Source organism: Homo sapiens, chromosome 17, assembly GCF_000001405.40.
Source record: "Homo sapiens chromosome 17, GRCh38.p14 Primary Assembly".
NCBI classification, from domain to species: Eukaryota; Metazoa; Chordata; class Mammalia; order Primates; family Hominidae; genus Homo; species Homo sapiens.
Genome location: NC_000017.11, coordinates 79,126,874 through 79,144,022, shown reverse-complemented (window position 1 = coordinate 79,144,022; position 17,149 = coordinate 79,126,874). Strand labels below are relative to the sequence as shown.

The 17,149-nt window shown below is 58.8% G+C and overlaps 1 protein-coding gene across 58 annotated transcripts in view; it reads left to right on the top strand.

Annotated features, from left to right (window-relative positions):
* RBFOX3 (RNA binding fox-1 homolog 3) overlaps positions 1-17,149 on the top strand; it is a 576,227-nt gene that overhangs the window by 521,549 nt on the left and 37,529 nt on the right. The window lies entirely within an intron of this gene.

Genomic DNA, 17,149 nt, shown 5'->3' with positions numbered 1-17,149 from the left:
CACGGGGGCCTGTTACCATCCAGGCACCGGCCAAGCAGGTCTGTCCCCCTTCGTGGCCACCCTTCAGTGGAAGGATGGGGGTGTCCGTCCTGGCCTGCAGTTAAATAGGAACAGGGGTGGCCGTGAAGAGCACCCTCCACTGGGGTGTCCTGGCTTGAGCCCAGGCACTGCAGGTCGGGGGTCCTCACCGACTGAAAATGGAGGGGGTCTTCATGAGTCAGTGCTTCCTGCAGGAGGGGCTCCGAGGGCACCACCCACCTTCCAACCCAAAACATGCCCAGCCTCAGATGCAGAGTGGCTTCCAGGTGTGGGGGCCTGTGCTGGAGGACGACGGTCCCCTACCCCGTTCCTGTCCCTAGGGAGCTCCTGCACGTGGCGTTGGTGCCGAGCGAAGGGGGTCACCTGTGGCCAGAGCAGAGGTGTCCCTGGTGGGGAGAACCCCGATTCTGGTGGCCAAGGCCCAGCCTCATCAAGGAACTGCTCTGCACAGGGTAGTGGCGAGCCTGGGAGGAGACCCCCACGCTGTGGGTGGGTTGGCTTCTGAGCTGTGGGGGCAGCAGGGAGTGGAGGAAAAGAGGGTCAGAGGTGGAGCTGGCTTGGAGAAGGAGAAATGCCTGAGATGGATTTATAGAACCCCCCCCCACCCCCCGCTCCACCAACAAGGACAGCACCATCCACAGAACTGTCCCCAGAATATCCAGGTCCCCCAGGAACAGGCTTGGGGAACTCTCCAGGGGGCCTGTAAGGACAGAGGCAGGGTGGGCAGAGAACGGGGTGGACTCGGGCGAGCTGGCACAGCCAAGATCCGGTCAGTGCTAGTCGCCACGGTCAGATGCAAGGCTGCCCAAAACACAGACACAGGGACCCCCCTTCTTGTGGGGTCCAAGGTATGGCAGGCAGGTGGTCCCACCCTTCTTACTGTTAGCCCAGCCCTTGCAGCCTGCTGTGAGTCCCCTTTACAGATGGGAAGCAGATGTGCAGGGACCAGCATCCTTCACACAGCAGCCCACCGTGCACCAGGATGTCCCTGTCCTGGGCCTCCCTCTTCGTCTTCTAGTCCTGGGACCTGGACTCAGTGGGATGCCAGGCAGGGCCACGTGCATGGGTGGGAGGCCGTGGTCTTCAGGGTTATGGGGGGCATTACTCCCAGGGGCCTGGTTCTCCCCCCATCCTTGAACATGGCTCTTGGTAGAAAAGTCTCTTGGGAACCAGAGGACCTTGGGGGCTGTGTCCCTGCCCCTGTGCCTAGAAGCCCAGACCCATCTTTCAACAACTTCGTAAGAGCCCCAGACTGGGTCAAGAAGCAGCAGCCCTCGGCCTGTTCAGAGGAGCCCAGGTGCACCCCCGGCACCCCCCAGCTGGCCAGCCAGTCTACGTGGAGAAGACAGACTCTCCACCATCCAGCCCCTCCCCACCTCCACACACCCACGAGTGGCCTCCCGCCACCGTGCCCCGCTGGCGGAGTTTAGTTGCAGCGTTGCAGCCCCAGTAGGGGCAGATCTGCTGGCCTGGTGAGTCCTGCTGGGGTCAGCAGGCTGGGGAGGGCTCGTCAAGGAGAAGGGGCGGCTTAGGATGGAAATTCCATTAGTGCTCAGCCGTGGGCAACAGGGTCTGTTTGAAGAATACATTCAATTAAAAATTGATTTTTCAGTTTAATCTCAATCATAATGAACCATGTTCAGACCCCTCCTGCCTCTCCAACGGGGCTGCTCCCACCCCTGGAGGCTCCGCAGCCACCTCCCCATCCCCAGAGGCAGGTAATACAGTCGGGCCAGAGGCCGGGGACCGGGAGGGAATAATTACAGACAAGGCACACAGGGAGTTTTGTGAAATGAAAGTGTCACGGTGGTAAATCGTCTTTTTATTTACTGCAAGGTTGTGTTTTCGGTGTGGCTCCAGTTAAAAGCTGCGATATTTAATTTCCCTTCATCCAGACGGTGTTTCAAAGCATCGTAAAAGGATAGCAGCACCAACCTTTTCCCTCCCTTCCCACAAACTCAGAGGCAGCGGGCAAGGATCCCGTCCTGGGCCCCGCCCCGTCTCCTCCTCTTTCTCAGGGTTTCTTTGCTTTCCTACCTGTGTGCGTCCCTTTCTTCCTGTGAGGTCAGGTAGGGGAGGCCAGGCTGGCTCTCCAGAGCTCCCTTGGGGTGCCCAGGCAGCAGGGTTCTTATAGATAACGCTCACTTTCGGCATCACTGTCTGTTTTGCTTGCGACCGGGGGGCACTGTGTCGTCCGCTCACCTGTGTTAACAGCTTTAGTCCTCACACAGCCTGCCCAGGGAGGCTGTCTTATGCCTGCTTTACAGATGAGGAAACAGGACCCCCAGGGAGGTGAAGGACTTACCGAGGGACCCCCAACTTCTCAGGACTCAAGCTCTAGCCTGCCCGACCCAGGCACATTGCCAAGGGGCTGTGGCTTTCTGTAAGTGTTTGGACATCAGGAGACCCAGCCCCACCCCAACCACCTGACCCTCCCCTGCTGATGTGCTGTGTAACCTCAGGCCCCATGCTGACCCCCTCTGAGCCACTATAAGAAGAGAAATTTAACACTGGCTTCTTGTGATAGAACTGAGATTTCAGAATCAGATGCCCAGAAGAGACCCTCCCGGAGCCCTAGGCAGGGCCTCTGCCTTCTGCCTGTGTGAACTCTGTAGCCTTCCCTGCTCTCTGGGTAACTCCCAGCAGCAAAGGGGGCTCCTGGCTGGCCCCCAACAGTGTCCTGCTCATAAGCATTCCTGCCCCAACCCCAGCTCCTGAGTCCAATCACACTAATCTTAGGTTCAGCCCTCTCGCTTATTGCAGAAAGACCAGTCTTTTGACCCCTCCCAATTCTGTCCCCAGCCACAGTGCTCATCAGTCCAGGAGCTCTCAGGCCTCCGTTCTGCCTGTATCGACAGCCGCGTGAGCCACGGTGCATCCCCGTTTACCAGGCAGCTGCCACCCTGCTGGGCCCTGGGCTTCCCCTGCACTCTCCAAGTATAGAGCTTTGTCCCCAGAGAGTGCTCAGGAAATCCCAGGACCATCCCTGCGAAGCCACCCGGGCTGCCTCTGTCACCCAGCAAGGGTCTTCAGCATTGGTAGGAGAGGACCTCTGTGAGCACAGCCAGGTGTCCTTTCAAGGGACCAACCCCAGCCCTCAGCATGGCATCTGGCTCCGTTTCCCAAATATCTCTACTTCTGATAGGTCTTTGGCAAAAAAAAGAATTCCGGGTGGAGAAGTGTGAGGGATGGATGGCATGCCCAGCACAGTTAAACCTGTCTCTCCACTGCGGAACTTCTCCGGGCCTTTTCTAGACAGCATGGTGGCATTTTCCCCAAGAAGTTTGGCCATGGAGCACTTTTCTAGAACATGCTAGGAGACTAAAGCTCTGTGGCACACGCCTGGGTTGGTCTGTCATGCTGTGCTTCCGAGCTGTGGGACTGTAGGTTGTCCTTCTCTCTCTTTGAGCCTCAGTTTCCCTGTCTGCAAAACCAGGGACTGTCACCGCCTGGGCCATCGTGAGCTTTACAGCTAATGTGGGTGCCGGTGCCAGCCTGCAGCAGGTGCTTGGCACACGCTGTGTCTGGCCCACACATGCACCTGGAGACAGGTGTGTGATTGGTGCCCAGGAGGCAGTGGCATCTCAGCTCAGAGGCTGGGTGTGGCATCATACAGGGTTCACCCTCCAGGGCCAGGGCTGGAGATACAGAAATGGGGCTCAGAGTGGAGAGATGGAAATGGCCCTGGGCTCAGAGATGAGCTGAGCTGTTATACTTGAGCTGCGTGACTTGCCCATAGCCACTAAGCTCTCGCAGCCTCAGTTTCCTCACCTGTACAATGGAGATCACAGCACATTCCCCTCAGGTATGGTGAAGACTCTGCCAAGGGCTGCGCAGGAAGAGTCTGGTCAATGACATGCGAGGCTGTCATTGCTGGGCGGGAGAGCTACCCATGGAGATGCCAGAACCCTCTTGGGGAAGCCACAGGGCGGGGTGGCCTGGCAGGGCCGCGGGACCAGGAGAGATGGGCCTGGGAGTGAGACAGAGCTGGACACCAGGCCTGGCCCTGCCCCTTTTACCTGCAGGGAAAGCCTGAGACTTATTTGGCTTCTCTCGGCGTCAGTTTTCCCATCAGTAACATGGGGATAGTGACACCCACGTCGTCTGGCTGGGATGAAGTCAGCAAGACGTCCTCCCCGGGCACACACGGTGGTTCTGCCCCTCCGGCATCGTCAGTGCAGAGATGCTCATCCTGCCCTGGGCACAGCCACTCCTGGCTGATCCCTAGCGGCAGAAGGGCCCATTTCTGCCTTTGGGAAGGATCTCCTTTTTCGCGGTTGGTGGTGGGCAGATCCTGGTAGGAAAGAATTGTCCCATTGGTCCCCCACTGCATCACAGCCACGTGCCCACCCACAGGAGAGTCTGGCCGGCAGTGCATCCTCCTCCCTGGCTCTGGAGCTGTGACCCTGCCTGCCCAGTTCCGGCCAGCCTCACGGGGAAGGAGCCCACATCCCGGTCAGCAGGAGAAGATGAATGCTTTTAATTCAGAGAGCTCTTCACGAGCCAATGAGAAGGTGTAAATCGTCCTTCCAGGCCCTGGAGCCCAGAGCTGGCACCCAGTCACAGCAGGAAGTGCAGCCAGCAGGGCCAAGATGCGGCTGGGCAGGTCATCTGGATGACAGGTGGACCTGGAGACATAGTCACCTGGCATGCAGGCATCCATAGCAAGCTCTTCCTCCTCTGGGGTGGGCACAGCCCTGCCTGATGCCTGTGTATCTGTGGTCTCCCTGTGTCGGGGTGGGGGGGGCCCTGTGTTTGTGGGGAGGGTGCCTTAGGTGAGTGTGTGAACTGGAATGTGTGTGGACATGGGTGTGAGCCCAGGTGTGAGCATGCCAAGGCAGGACCGTGAACGCATGTGCTGTGCGTGTGTGGGTGAGAGTGGGTGTGAACATGTGCTTGTGTGCATGTGTGTGTGGGTGAGGGGTGTGAACACGTGCTGTGTGCGTGCGTGTGTGGGTGAGGGCATGAACGCATGTGCTGTGTGCATGTGTGTGAGGGGGTGTGAACGCATGTGCTGTGTGCATGTGTGGGGCTGAGGGGGGTGTGAATGCATGTGCTGTGTGCGTGTGCGGGTGAGGGTGTGAATGCATTGCTGTATGCCTGCGTGTGTGGGTGAGAGGGGGCGTGAATGCATGTGCTGTGTGCATGTGTGTGGGTGAGGGGGTGTGAACGCATGTGTGTGGGTAAGGGGGCGTGAAGGCATGTGCTGTGTGCATGTTTGTGGATGGTGGTGTGAACACGTGCTGTGTGCATGCGTGTGTGGGTGAGGGGGTGTGAACGCATGTGCTGTGTCCATGTGTATGGGTGAGGGTGTGAATGCATGTGCTGTGTATGTGCGTGTGTGGGTGAGGAGGTGTGAACACGTGCTATGTGTGTGTGGGTGAGGGGTTGCATCACCATACAGGTGTAATGTGTGTTTTGGTTGTGTGTGCTCAGGAGTGAGCATGCACAGTGTATATGCGTGTGGATGCAGTGTGGGCTGTACGTATTACCTGGACATGACTGTGACATGGTGTGTATGTGCATGAGCTTGGGAGTGAGTGTTCACAGTGTGAGAGTGTGGAGTGAGTGTTCACAGTATGAGAGTGTGCACTGTGTATGTGTGGAGTGTGTGCGTGCGGGTGTTCACACCTGCGTGTGACATGGTACACACGAGCGTGCTCGGGTGAGTCCACACAGTGTGCGAGTGTGTACTGTGTGTATGCACATGGGGAATACAGGTATGTAGAGGCATGCACGGTCTGAGTGTGCGTGTTGCACACGGATGTGTGCAGTGAGTGTGCAGGCATGTACAGGTTGCTCCTGCGGTGGGAGTGTGCCTCGCAGGCTCGGTGACACACGCCCCTCTGGGTGCCTGGAGAGGCTCCCAGCTGCAGATCAGACCTGCCCACGAGCGTGCCTTGTCCGCGTGAGTGGGCGTGTGTGTGCCTGGCGTGTGACGGAGACAGTGCTTGGCGGGGGCGGGCTGCCTGGGATGTGCCTCCGCCTGTGCAAGCACACATGTGCACATGGCTTCTAGAGAAGAAGATGTTTAAAAATGGAGTTGTCAGCCCCGAGTTGACAGGCGCAATCAGCAAAGTGCAGCGTCGGCAGGAACGGGCCGCGGCTCCCTCAATTACCCGGGAGGAAATGGCCCCGCTTTGTGCTGAGAAGGCAGAGTGTGGCTGGAATAAAGCAAGTGGAGCAGACCCAAAAACTTCATTAATTAAAGAAACTCATTAATGAGGGACATTTAATCAGCTGAAGATTAGATCCACACTCGCCTCTTCCATGAGCCAGGCGCCTAACGGGAAAAGAAGCCATCCGCCTCCTCCCCCGACACCCTCCCCGCGTGCCCGGGCCAGGCCAGGCGCCAGCAGCTTGGCTGGGAGGAAAGGAGGCGCTCAGGCCCCGGGGGGCAGGCAGTGGAGGGCAAGCCCAAGTCCAGGCAGGTGGACTGGGGGGTGGGAAATGTGTGTAGGTGTGCAGGTGCACTGCTGCGTGCACGATCACTGCAGGCGCGTGTGTGTGGAGGGGTCGGGTAAGGCGTGTCTGGGTCAGTGATTCTCAACAGGGGGTGATTTTGCCCCGCCCCCTGCCTGAGGATATTTGATAATTTCACAATGGCCTGGGGGTTGGAGGGTGCTCCTGTCATCCAGGGGTGCTTGTGTGAGAATGCACTGGGAATGTGTGTGTGTGTACACGTGTACAGGGACTGCATGTCTTGTGAGTGTGCATGAACAGGGCTGTGTGTGTGTGTGTGTGTGCATGAAGAGGGTCTGTGTGAGCACATGTCCACGAGGCCTGCGTGTGTGCACAGAGGCTGCGTGTGTGAGTCCATGCATGTGAGCACGTGTGTGTGTCTCTGTGAGGATGCATCCAGGGGCTACCCCGCTGGGGTTCAGAACCCAAACAGGGGTGCCTCTGGTGAAGGGAAGATCTCGAGCCGGAGGAGGGCCTGGACCTCTGGGAGTCCTGGGGGATGCCAGGGTTGTGAAGGTCAGAGGCGTGTGGCTGAATGTGCAGAATCCCAGGACCATACAAGCTGTCCCCACGCCCCTGGGATGGAGCCTCCTTCTTAGAGCGAGTGTGAATCGTCCACTCTGGCTTAAGACTGTGAGAGGGGTGGCCCCTGCCAGGTGGTGACTATCTCCTAGGAAGTGGCTGTCACAGGCCAGGAGGAGCTTGCTACTGATTGATGGGAGCAGAGCAGGCTCAGATGAGAGCTGGCCTGGCACTGCCGCCTGCCCTGGGGCAGGCATTTGAGAGGACTGAGACATCAGGTCGGGGACCCTGGCTGAGAGCTCGGTTCCGGGTGAGGATCAGCAGGTTCCCGGTGCTTCCCAGCACCTTCCCCATCTTCTGGCAGTGCTACGCCAGGCTGAGCCAACCAACAGAGCTTGGGCGAGAGACCCAGGGGCCCCAGTGCCTGGAAAGTTGAGTGGCCAGCAGCACAGGATGGACCCATTTGGTGCAGGTTGTCCCACCCTGAGTGAGAGGTCTGGTAGCCTGGGGCCGGTGGGGGGTGCTTCTTCACAGCATGGGGTCCCCTCCGCTCCTGGGCCAGGCACGTCCTCCTTCCTCCCCACGCTCCTGCCACGGTCTGCACGAGCGTGCTTATCCTAAGCAGTTCCTGAGTGCATCTCCCAGTCCAGGCTCCACCACCTTACATAGGGGTGCAACTGGCCGCTCCCATGGCACTTCCTCTGGCTGGGAGGGGTCATAGGGAAGGGGTGGGCCTTGCCCAGGCGTGGGCTGGGCAGTGGATGAAGGCAGTGTGGGGTGCACGCGTACTGCGGGGGCTGTCAGGGCTGAGCCAGGGAGAGCGTGACGGACACAACAGATTCTCCAGGGCGAAGGTGCTGTCACGTCTCTGAGGTCGGCACGTGTGGAGAAGGGAAACAGAAACAGGCAGCCCACGGGATGCCAGGGAGCTCAGTCTTCACCCGTCCAGATGTACAGGAGGGAGACCCAGGCCTCCGCCTAGCTAGGAACAGAACAGTGCCAGAGGAAGTAGGTTCAGACTGCAGCCGGGGGACTCAGGTTTGATGCCAAGAACTGTGACCCCACCCAGCATAAGTGGCCGAGGAGCTGTGGAATCCACAAGCTCTCAGCTCTCAGCAGCTCATAGCGCAGCCCTGGCTGGCGTCTTAGGGAGGGACTCTGTGACCTCGTGTGTCCCCCAGCCTGAAGCATCTATCTCTGAGTCCTTGGCTGCTGTCTTAGCCACAGCAGAGGGGGCAGGGAGCCCTGGGATGCCAGGCCGCTTGTGGATTTTAGGGACGTGGGTGAGGACAGTTTCTGGTCCTTTGGGGAAAGGTTGGCAAGGAATGGTCCCACAGAGATCCTGTATGGGGGTGGGATGGGACATGCCACAGGGAATCCCTCCCCCGATGCCCCCACTGCGCTGGGGAGCACCTGGAAGGAAGGTCGGGCCAGTCATGGGCAGCCCAGGCCTTTGCTCAGATGCCCCCCTGTTGGAAGCCCTGCTTTTGCTCTTGGGAAGGGGGCATCCTGTAAGGGGCTCAGGCCTCCCAGGGAGCATCCCTGTGTCCAGCCCAGAGCAACCCCCTCCAAAGGTGGGGTATGGCTCAGGGCAGGTGTGTCCTGCTGGAGGAGAGGCTAATGGCTGGGGCAGCAAGGTTTTCCTTATGAGAGGACAGCACTTAAGGTGGCCTGGCTCCTTCCCCAGGGACCCCACCGCCACCCATCTCACCTCCCCAGGACCCCACCGCCTTCCCTTGCCTGTCCCATTTTACAGTTGAAACACAGCCCCAGGACGGCCTGCGGCGCTGACTCAGTCTCCCTGGCTGTGGCCGGGCAGTGGACTGGGCAGGTGCTCAGAGGTACAGACAGGTGAAGCAGAGAGCACCTGCTGCCCCCTGGGCCAGGGTTCTAGACCAGGTGGTGCCCCTCACCTCGTGACCGCGTATCCTCATCCTGGGTGTGCTGAGTGTCCTCAACCTCACCATCTGTGGGATCAGATGGGGTCCCACTCACTGTGATTCTCAGAGGACGGCACTCAGAGTCCCCCTCCCTCACCAAGTCTCTGCCCCCTCCTCAATCTCTGCTGTGACTGAGGGTGCCCAGGTGGCCTTTCCCATGGACTCAGAAGCCAGCCCCGCCGTGCTCTTCCTCCAGACCCCTCTTCCAGGCCCACCAGCTGTTTCAGCACCACTGGTGGGAATGCCAGTGTCCACCGGTGGCTGCTGTCCCTGATGTTCCGAGTGGCGTCCTTTTGGGCCCAGGCGCAGGGGGGAACTGCCTCTTCCCCCAGGGGGAACTGTGCCCCTGCATGGTGTCTCTGACACGGTCAGGGTGCCAACTGGCTTCAGGACCCCCTCCCTGGGACAGCTGTGGTTTGTGATTCTGAGGCTGCAGGTCAGGGTGCAGCCCAGGAATCTGCATTTCTAGCAGATGACAGGGTCCGCAGTCCAGACTTTGAGGAGCAGAGTCTCAAAGCTCACCATGCAACACAGACCTCACTGTGTCCCAGCTGCAAGGCTGCAGAGCTGTGTGCACCTGCTGTGCGCAGCCACATGTGACCGACCAGGCGTGAGCACCCAGGGGTTCTGTACCCACAGAGTCTCCCTCCCAGAGCCACTGCCCGGACCACCAACTCCCAAGCACCCCCATTAAAGAAGGGATCATCAGGGGACTGATCCCAAGTGATGAATACATCCAGTTTTCCAACCACATTCCACCAGGTGGGTGTTTGGCTGTGGGACGCATTATGTAATCTTCGTTGCCAGGAAATTTACCTTCCTAATTACATTTTGCAAATGTTCATTTGAAGCCGCCTTCTTGGAGCTCACAGTAACTAGGAGGTGGCTGCTGGAAGCCCCAGGGCACCGTGGGAGGGACAGGGGAACGTCCCAGACCTGAGGCTGCTGGGTGCAGAGTGCAAGGGTGGGGTCCTGCCTTCCCGCCGTCTCCACCCCCTCCTGCCCACCTCATGTCCTGGGCACTGTGCTTAATATCCTGTTCCATTTGCTAAATGAAGACCATGGGCCATTAATAATGCTAATATTCCTTAATGAATATGCAGAAAACAGAAACGAGGATGCCTCTGTAGCTGGCAGAGCAAGCGGCCCTGGAACCCTGGGGGAGAGAGGCCCAGGGGCTGCTCCGATATTCACAGCCAGCGCTTCTCCTCTGGTGGGTCACTTGACAGCTGACCTGTTGCGTTGTCCTCACAAGGCCCTGGGAGGGAGCTTTGGCCTGGATGATGTTCTTGCCATCCCACTGAGTAGGAACCTGGTGTCTCCTGGTCCACCCTCAGGTGTAGGCCAAATGCTGTGTGTACCACGGATGCTGCGTGTACTCACCTGCTTATATAAATTCACAGCAGCATCTCAGCAGGACTTGAGCAAGGATGGAGGAGGAACTGAGTACAGTGGAGATCACAGCTGGGTAGGGGTAGCCTGGAAGGCTTCCCAGAGGAGGTATTTGGACACCTCAAGGATGTAGAGGAGGATTAGAGGAGGGAAGACCTGAGTCACAGCAGAGAAGCTCTGCACAAAGCCTGTCCATGACACCACATGGGGTGGTGTTTTTCACCATGGTGTCCCAGAGATGGCTAGTAGGTGCTCAGCAAACCTAGTAGGTGCTCAGCAAACAGATCTCAGCTGAGTGAGTGGGAAGGTACAAGGTGAGATGGGAGCTGCATGAGAGCTGCAGTGAAGCTCTGCTAGGAGCTGGTAGTGACCATGGATGGACAAGGCTGGGCCCAGGCCTCCTCAGGGACCCGCTCCTCTGGTTTCCCCTGCAGCCTCCTCTGTCTTCTCCCACTGGCCCCTGCCTTGGTAACTTACCGGGATCTCAGAACCCTTGCTCCCCACCCTGCTCCTGTGGGCAGGGGCAGGAGGCCACCATGAGCTCCCCCTCCTCCCTGGAGGCAGAAGGTCTCCTTGGATGGGAAGGAGGCCTTTGGTCACCCCCACGCTGGGGTTTGAGGCCCACCCAGCCTTGGCAGCTCCCCCTACCTGTGTGGCTCAGGCCACTTTGCTCGTGTGTGAAATGGAGAGCAGCCTGGTTATAGGGGCCACGATGAGGGCAAGGGGATCATCCTCAGGACCTGGAGCCTCCCACGGGCCCGCACGCCCCGTCCAGGGTGGAGAAGAGGGTTCCTGCTCCCAGGGGAAGGGCTTTGCTTTTCCTAAGCGCCTCCCTTACCTCTCAGAGGAGTTGGGTGCTCTCTTCCCAATCCTTGCGGCTTTCCTCATGTCGCCTGCACCCCCTCCCTGTCCTCCAGTGTTGCTGCTCTCGAGGTTCTCCTCAGCCCCAGGGGAGGGCCAGTGAGCAGCAGCTGGAAGCCAGGCCGCTCAAGGGCGAGTCAGGCGGATGCCTGCGGCTTGAGGGCAGAGCAGGGGGAGAGAGGACCGCGACACCCTGCACCCAGGCCCTCTGTCCTCACCCCCGACTCTGCCCCCAGCAGCTCTGGCACTCCTGCCAATCTCACCCGTCAGACCAGCAATGTACGCTGTTTCCTGTTGGCTCCGAGGGGAGCCGCCCAGTGCCGGGTGCTGATCCCCCGTGGCGCCTGCACCTGCGTGAGTACACACACGTGCACACTCAGAGCTACAGCCTCAGACCACGGCAGGGACGTGCATGGAATAGGGCTGTAGGCCGCTGCTCATCCGGGGCAGTGATTGGCCCGCGTCGCTCAGCTCCTTTGCTTACCCTAAGTGCAGTGCTCTTCTACGTACGCCCTCTGCCCCCCACCCCACCCCACCCCACCCCAGTCTACCCGCTGCAGAGACCCCTCCTGGGCTCTGTGCCTGAGTCTGACCTCAGCCCCAGCTGGCCAGCAGCCTCAAGCCCCCTCACCCTGGGAGCTGGGAACTGTTGGTGTTTCCGTCCGTCTGATTGACCATCGAGGTGAACTCACCTCCCAGCACCCCGCTCTGCACCTGCCGACCAAGCCCCATCAGCCAGACACCTGGCTCCTTGCTGATTTTCCCCAGGCAAGACGCAGAGTAGGTGGAGGTGAAGCTGGTGGGAGAAGAGGATTTATGGAGCCACATTATTTATGATTTGTATGCAGTGAGCTTGGAGAGAATTACCGCTTAATCGTGTGAAAATCTGTCCCCTCGTCTGGCGCTTTTCAGCTGAGATCTGTGCTGACCTGAGCAGGGAGGGACTGAGTCTGGTCTGGGGCTGGGGTTGGGCTCTGGCCAGGTGGCCGGGCAGGATTCGGGGCCATCTCTCAGCCATCAGAGCAGGGAGGCCCCTGGCATCACTGGGCCAGTGGTTTCTACCAGGTCTTGTGCCTTGAACCCCTCAATATCTGACCCCTTCTTCCAATAATGGTCTTAAATGCATAAAATAAAACAGATTATTATGAAGGAAACCAATTGTATTGAGATACAGTTACCAAAAGAAAATACCCGTGCATGAAAACATGATCCGTGGCTTCCTAACGTGTGAGAGACCAGGCCCAGGTTTGGAGTTGGAGTGAGCGTGAAGGTCAGCAGATAGCGGAGTGGCGACGCTTAACAGGAAGGCCTGAGGCTCCTGCGGGTGGTGGTGGGTGCTGCGTCAGGTGGGCTCACGCCGTGGGGTTTGCAGCCGCGTCTGTGGGTGGAGGTGCTACCAACGTTCAGCTGGAAGACGGTGAAGGTAGACGAGGGGCTTGTTTTCCTGTCCAGAAGCACAGACGCTCTAGCGCTGTTCCCAGCGTGCACAGAGCACAGCACACGGAGGGCACATGGAATACACACGGAGGGCACATGGAGACTGAGCGGAGCACACATGGGCACAGAGCACACAGTACACGCAGGGCACACACAGTGCACAGAACACACGGAGCACACAGCATACAGCACACGCAGCACATGGCTCACACACGGTACACACAAGCACACGGGTCACACAGCACACACGGGGCGCACATGTGCACACACGGGGCACACAGCACACACGGGACACGCAGCACATGGCTCACGGTACACACAAGTACATGGGGGCACAGCACACATGGGGCACACATGCTCACACACGGGGCACACAGTACACATGGGGCACACGCAGGGCACGCAGAGCACGCTGCCTTGCAGGTGCGGGGCTGATTCCCGCGCACCGTGTCCTAGCACCACGGCGGCTCTGGATCTTCACTGATGAGGAATTTGTGCTTCGGCTTTGAGGCTTGGGCCAGGTCCCGCCTCCAGGCAGGGAGGCCAGAGCTTAGAGCATGGCAGGCCCCATCCCGCACCAAGCCCGGGCTGAAGGACAGGGCACTCCACTCGTTCCAGGGACTGTGTCAGAAGACTGCTCGGTATCGGGCTCTGTGAGACCCAGGCTTGTCCCCACCGGGGCCTGGAGAGCAGGCTGCATGCCGAGGCCTGGAGTTTGCAGGGAGGTCTGCCCCATGGCCCACTCAGCGCCTCCCTGCTGGACCGCCTGCCCTCACGCCACTGTGGGAGAGCCCTGAGGCCCTAGGGGGAAATGAGAAGCTGTGGACCTGAGCAAAGGAGAGAAAGAGGGTGGGGACATCCACGCTCCTGGCAGAGGGCGGTGGCAGGGACCACAGCGGCCCAGCCTGTGCCCGCCCTCCACTGCCAACAGCAGGCGGCAGAGCATGCGACTTGGTGGCGGGTTGTTGGCTTGCGAAGTGACTGTGGGCCTCGGAGCCCTGCTCACCCACAGTGTGGCTCTGCCTGGATGATCCCTGAAGCCCCTCTAGGTCTGAGGGGCGGGGGCAGGCTCTTGATCTGCCCTGGGCCTTCCAGGAAGTCTTCGTGGAGAAGTCGGGGGGGAAGGGGACCTGAGAGCCGGTGGCTGTGGAACATGGAGACCTAATGGTCCCTGAATGAAGTAATATGCAGTGTGGCGGGGCGTCCGACAGCCCTAATTAATAAAAGATATTAAACCTGCTGTCAGGGGACAGAATGGGTTGGATGGGGTGGGAGCAAGTCACTCAGGTGCATTCCTGCTCCAGGCCTGGGCACCTCCTGAGCCTTTCCCCAGCAAGCAGCGCTGCCCAGCCTCCTCCCGGTCCCCGCAGGGCAGCCCCTGCCCTCCTCCTGCAGAGCTCCCATTTGCTCACCAGCCCCCATTCCTGGGCCTCCCTAGACCTCTTGCTGGGGCAAGGAGAGTGAATTGGAGCCCGACTGGGGCAGGTCCGCCCATTCCTCCCCTCCCTGGCATGGGCTGGGGTGTCATATAAGCTCTGGACTGTAAGTATCTCTTCCCAGCTGCACCTTCAGAGATTTCAGGCTGGTAGTTTAGAACCAGCAATGGTGGGAGTATTTACACCAGGGAAATTGGCAAACGCCACAAGCAGTCTTTTCCCCACGGAGCCAGTTGTTAATGTTACCAGCACACCACTACCTCTCCCCATTGGGGCAGGGGAGGTCCTGAGTCAGCCCCTACAGAGGCTATGGTGTCCTCTGCACCTTGAAGGACAGTGTCAAGCACAGAGGTGGGTGCATATCAGGGTCTCAGGAAACCCTGGTTGGTCACTAGGTTAGAATGAACTCAGGAAGCCTGGACAACTGGCTCAGCAGGAGCCTGGGGGGCTTGGGGGAAGGAGAGAGCGTTGTCCTGCTGCCCACCCCTCCTTCCTCCCCTGGGTCTCTAGGGCACACCCTCTTACTCCGGATTGGAAAGCAGTCCATACCTGTCAGGTAGCAGCAGGTGGTTCCAGGATCAAACAGGCCTGGGTTCAGATCCCAGGTCTGCTACATCCTGGATGTGTGTGCTTGGGCAAGTAACTTCCCCACTCTGAGTTTCTTTCCTTGCATCAAGAATGCCAGTTTAGCGCATTGAAGATTAAATGAAATAATGTACTTTCAGTGCTTCACCCAGTGCTGGGCATTCGTAAGCCTTCAGCCACCGTCCGTCACTACTCTAATTATCATCATCAGCAGCAGCAGCATCACTCAGCATTTACTGAGCACCTGCCATGTGCCTGAACCGGGTCAGCCCCTGGGGACTCAGTGATGGAAGCACAAGCACTTGTGCTCAGGGTCTCGGGGTCTGGGGTGCTACCCTCCACTGCTGAGGTTCTGGAAAGTTCAGGTGGGCTCAGGTGGCAAAGCACCACCAGAGGTTTCTTCACTGTGATCATAGCCTCACTCTGGCCTGAGGCATTTGCAATAGCACCTCTGCTGAAACAGGGCCATGCACCAAGGTCTCTGGCTTTAAAGTACCTGCAGGGACCCCTCTGTACATCCTGCACCTTGGGGATGACTCCCGAAGAGCTCCTGATAAGGAGGCATGAGATTGCCCTGGAGTGAGAGGTCTCCTGAGCTGCCCGTCCTGGCACAGCAGGAGTCCCCACAGGAGCAGGGGCAGGCAGCCCCGGCTCCCAGGCTTCTCACCTTGCTGGCTACGACCTGGCTTTTGGGGGTGTTCCATGCTGGTCAGGGGCCTCTGCTCTCATCCGGCAGGGATGCTCACTCTCCCAGTCCAGCCGGAACCACAGACCTTGGAGTTAGGAGCCTGTGAGCTGTAGAGGTGGCCTGTTTCTGGGCGGAGGAAGCAGCTGAGTCTGAAGGCAGGAACCTGGTGCGGGAGAGAGAGCTGTGGCTGCACGGGCCCTCCTGTCCCCCTGCCACCTGTGACCTCCATCCTGGGAAAGCCCTGGCGGATCCTGGGTCCACAAAGCACCTGGGGAAAACCTGCTTCTGGGACCTCAGTGGGTCGTAGAAAACGCTCACGATGGTTTATTTGTGCTTCTGGGAAGCAAAGTCCCCCCCTCATCCACACATGGGGGATCCTCTCTAGGAGTCACTGAAGCAAATGCTCAATGCCAGGAGGACGTGCCCAGCCTTCAGTTGGCCACTCAGGAAACTGGAGGTTTCGACCAAGCCAAACATAATAGAGGCCAAGTGGGGGACCCCTGAGCATGGAATCATGCATCTCCAATTTAGCCAATGCTGGGGAGGGCTTCCGCCAGGAGTCTGCTCCCTGAGGGTAGGACTCTACCCGCTGCTGTGCCCAGACATCTAGAACCTGGCGCTGAGCGGTCGCATGGTGTGTATTTTGGGGGCAGATTCACGCACACCATTGCTCACTTTCCTGCTGGTGCAGACATGCAGAACAGCAGGGCTCCCTGCCCGCACCAGCAGCGTGACGGGGGCAGCGTGACAGGGGCAAGTCAGCCTCTCCGGTGCCCATTTTCTCCTTGACAAAGTGGACAGAATGTTCTCTGAGACGCCTTTCATCTTGAACCTCCTGGGATCGGGGGTCACAGGTCTCTTATGAGTGGGGCCAGCTCCACCCTCCTCGGAGATATCCAGATAACTCGTGCTGTTCCAGCCCAGTGCAGCTTTAATCATGGCAGGACATCTTTCCTGGAACCAGACCCGACCCCAGCACACGATGTGACATCAGCAATAGGAACCGGCCTCTGATGCGGGGGCTCAAGGGCGCCGGTCGGGGGCACCTGGGCCTTCCCTTGACATCATCATGTTTTCCAGCTTAATCTTCATCCGTTTTAGATAATCTTTTATTTTCCCTAAAACTTCTTTGACCTGTAATATGCACATTAAAAAAAGAAAAGAAAATAGGAGCATCACCTGCAAGAAAATAGAAGCAAATGCATTGTCTAGAAATGCCTGTTCTTCTGTTCCTCCGTTCTTCCCACCTCCTCTCCTCCCTCACCGCTCTGGACACCTGCTTCTCCCTCAGGTCTCCCTCTCATCGTTCCTGTTGATGCGTTATCTCTGGGTTGTCCTCTGGCTCGTGGAAACTACCCACTCTGCTCTTGAACTGGCCACCTGGGCAGGCACAGCTGGGGAGCCCCCCTTTCTGCACTCAGGTATCAAGAAGTGAAGCTGCTCCCAGCCCCTCAGGAAGGAAGGGTGCACCCGGACCTGCATGATGGTGACGTCGGGTGATAATTTGGAAGGCTGGCCCGGATTCAGATCCAACCAGAGCCATTTGCCTGTGACTCTTGACCTGTAAGTTGGGAGTGAATGTGGCGTTGGAGTCGTGCTGAGGAGCAGCCAGGATGGGCAAAGCTGGTAGCAGTTGGCCACTCAGGAAACTGGAGGCTTCACCCAAGCCAAACATACTAGAGAGGTGGATTCTGTGCGTTCTTGGAGGACCAGCCTGCGAAGAGGAGGCTGTGGGATGCCTGCAAAGCCCGGTGCCGGGTGGAAGTTTCCAGAAGGCAGATTTCAGC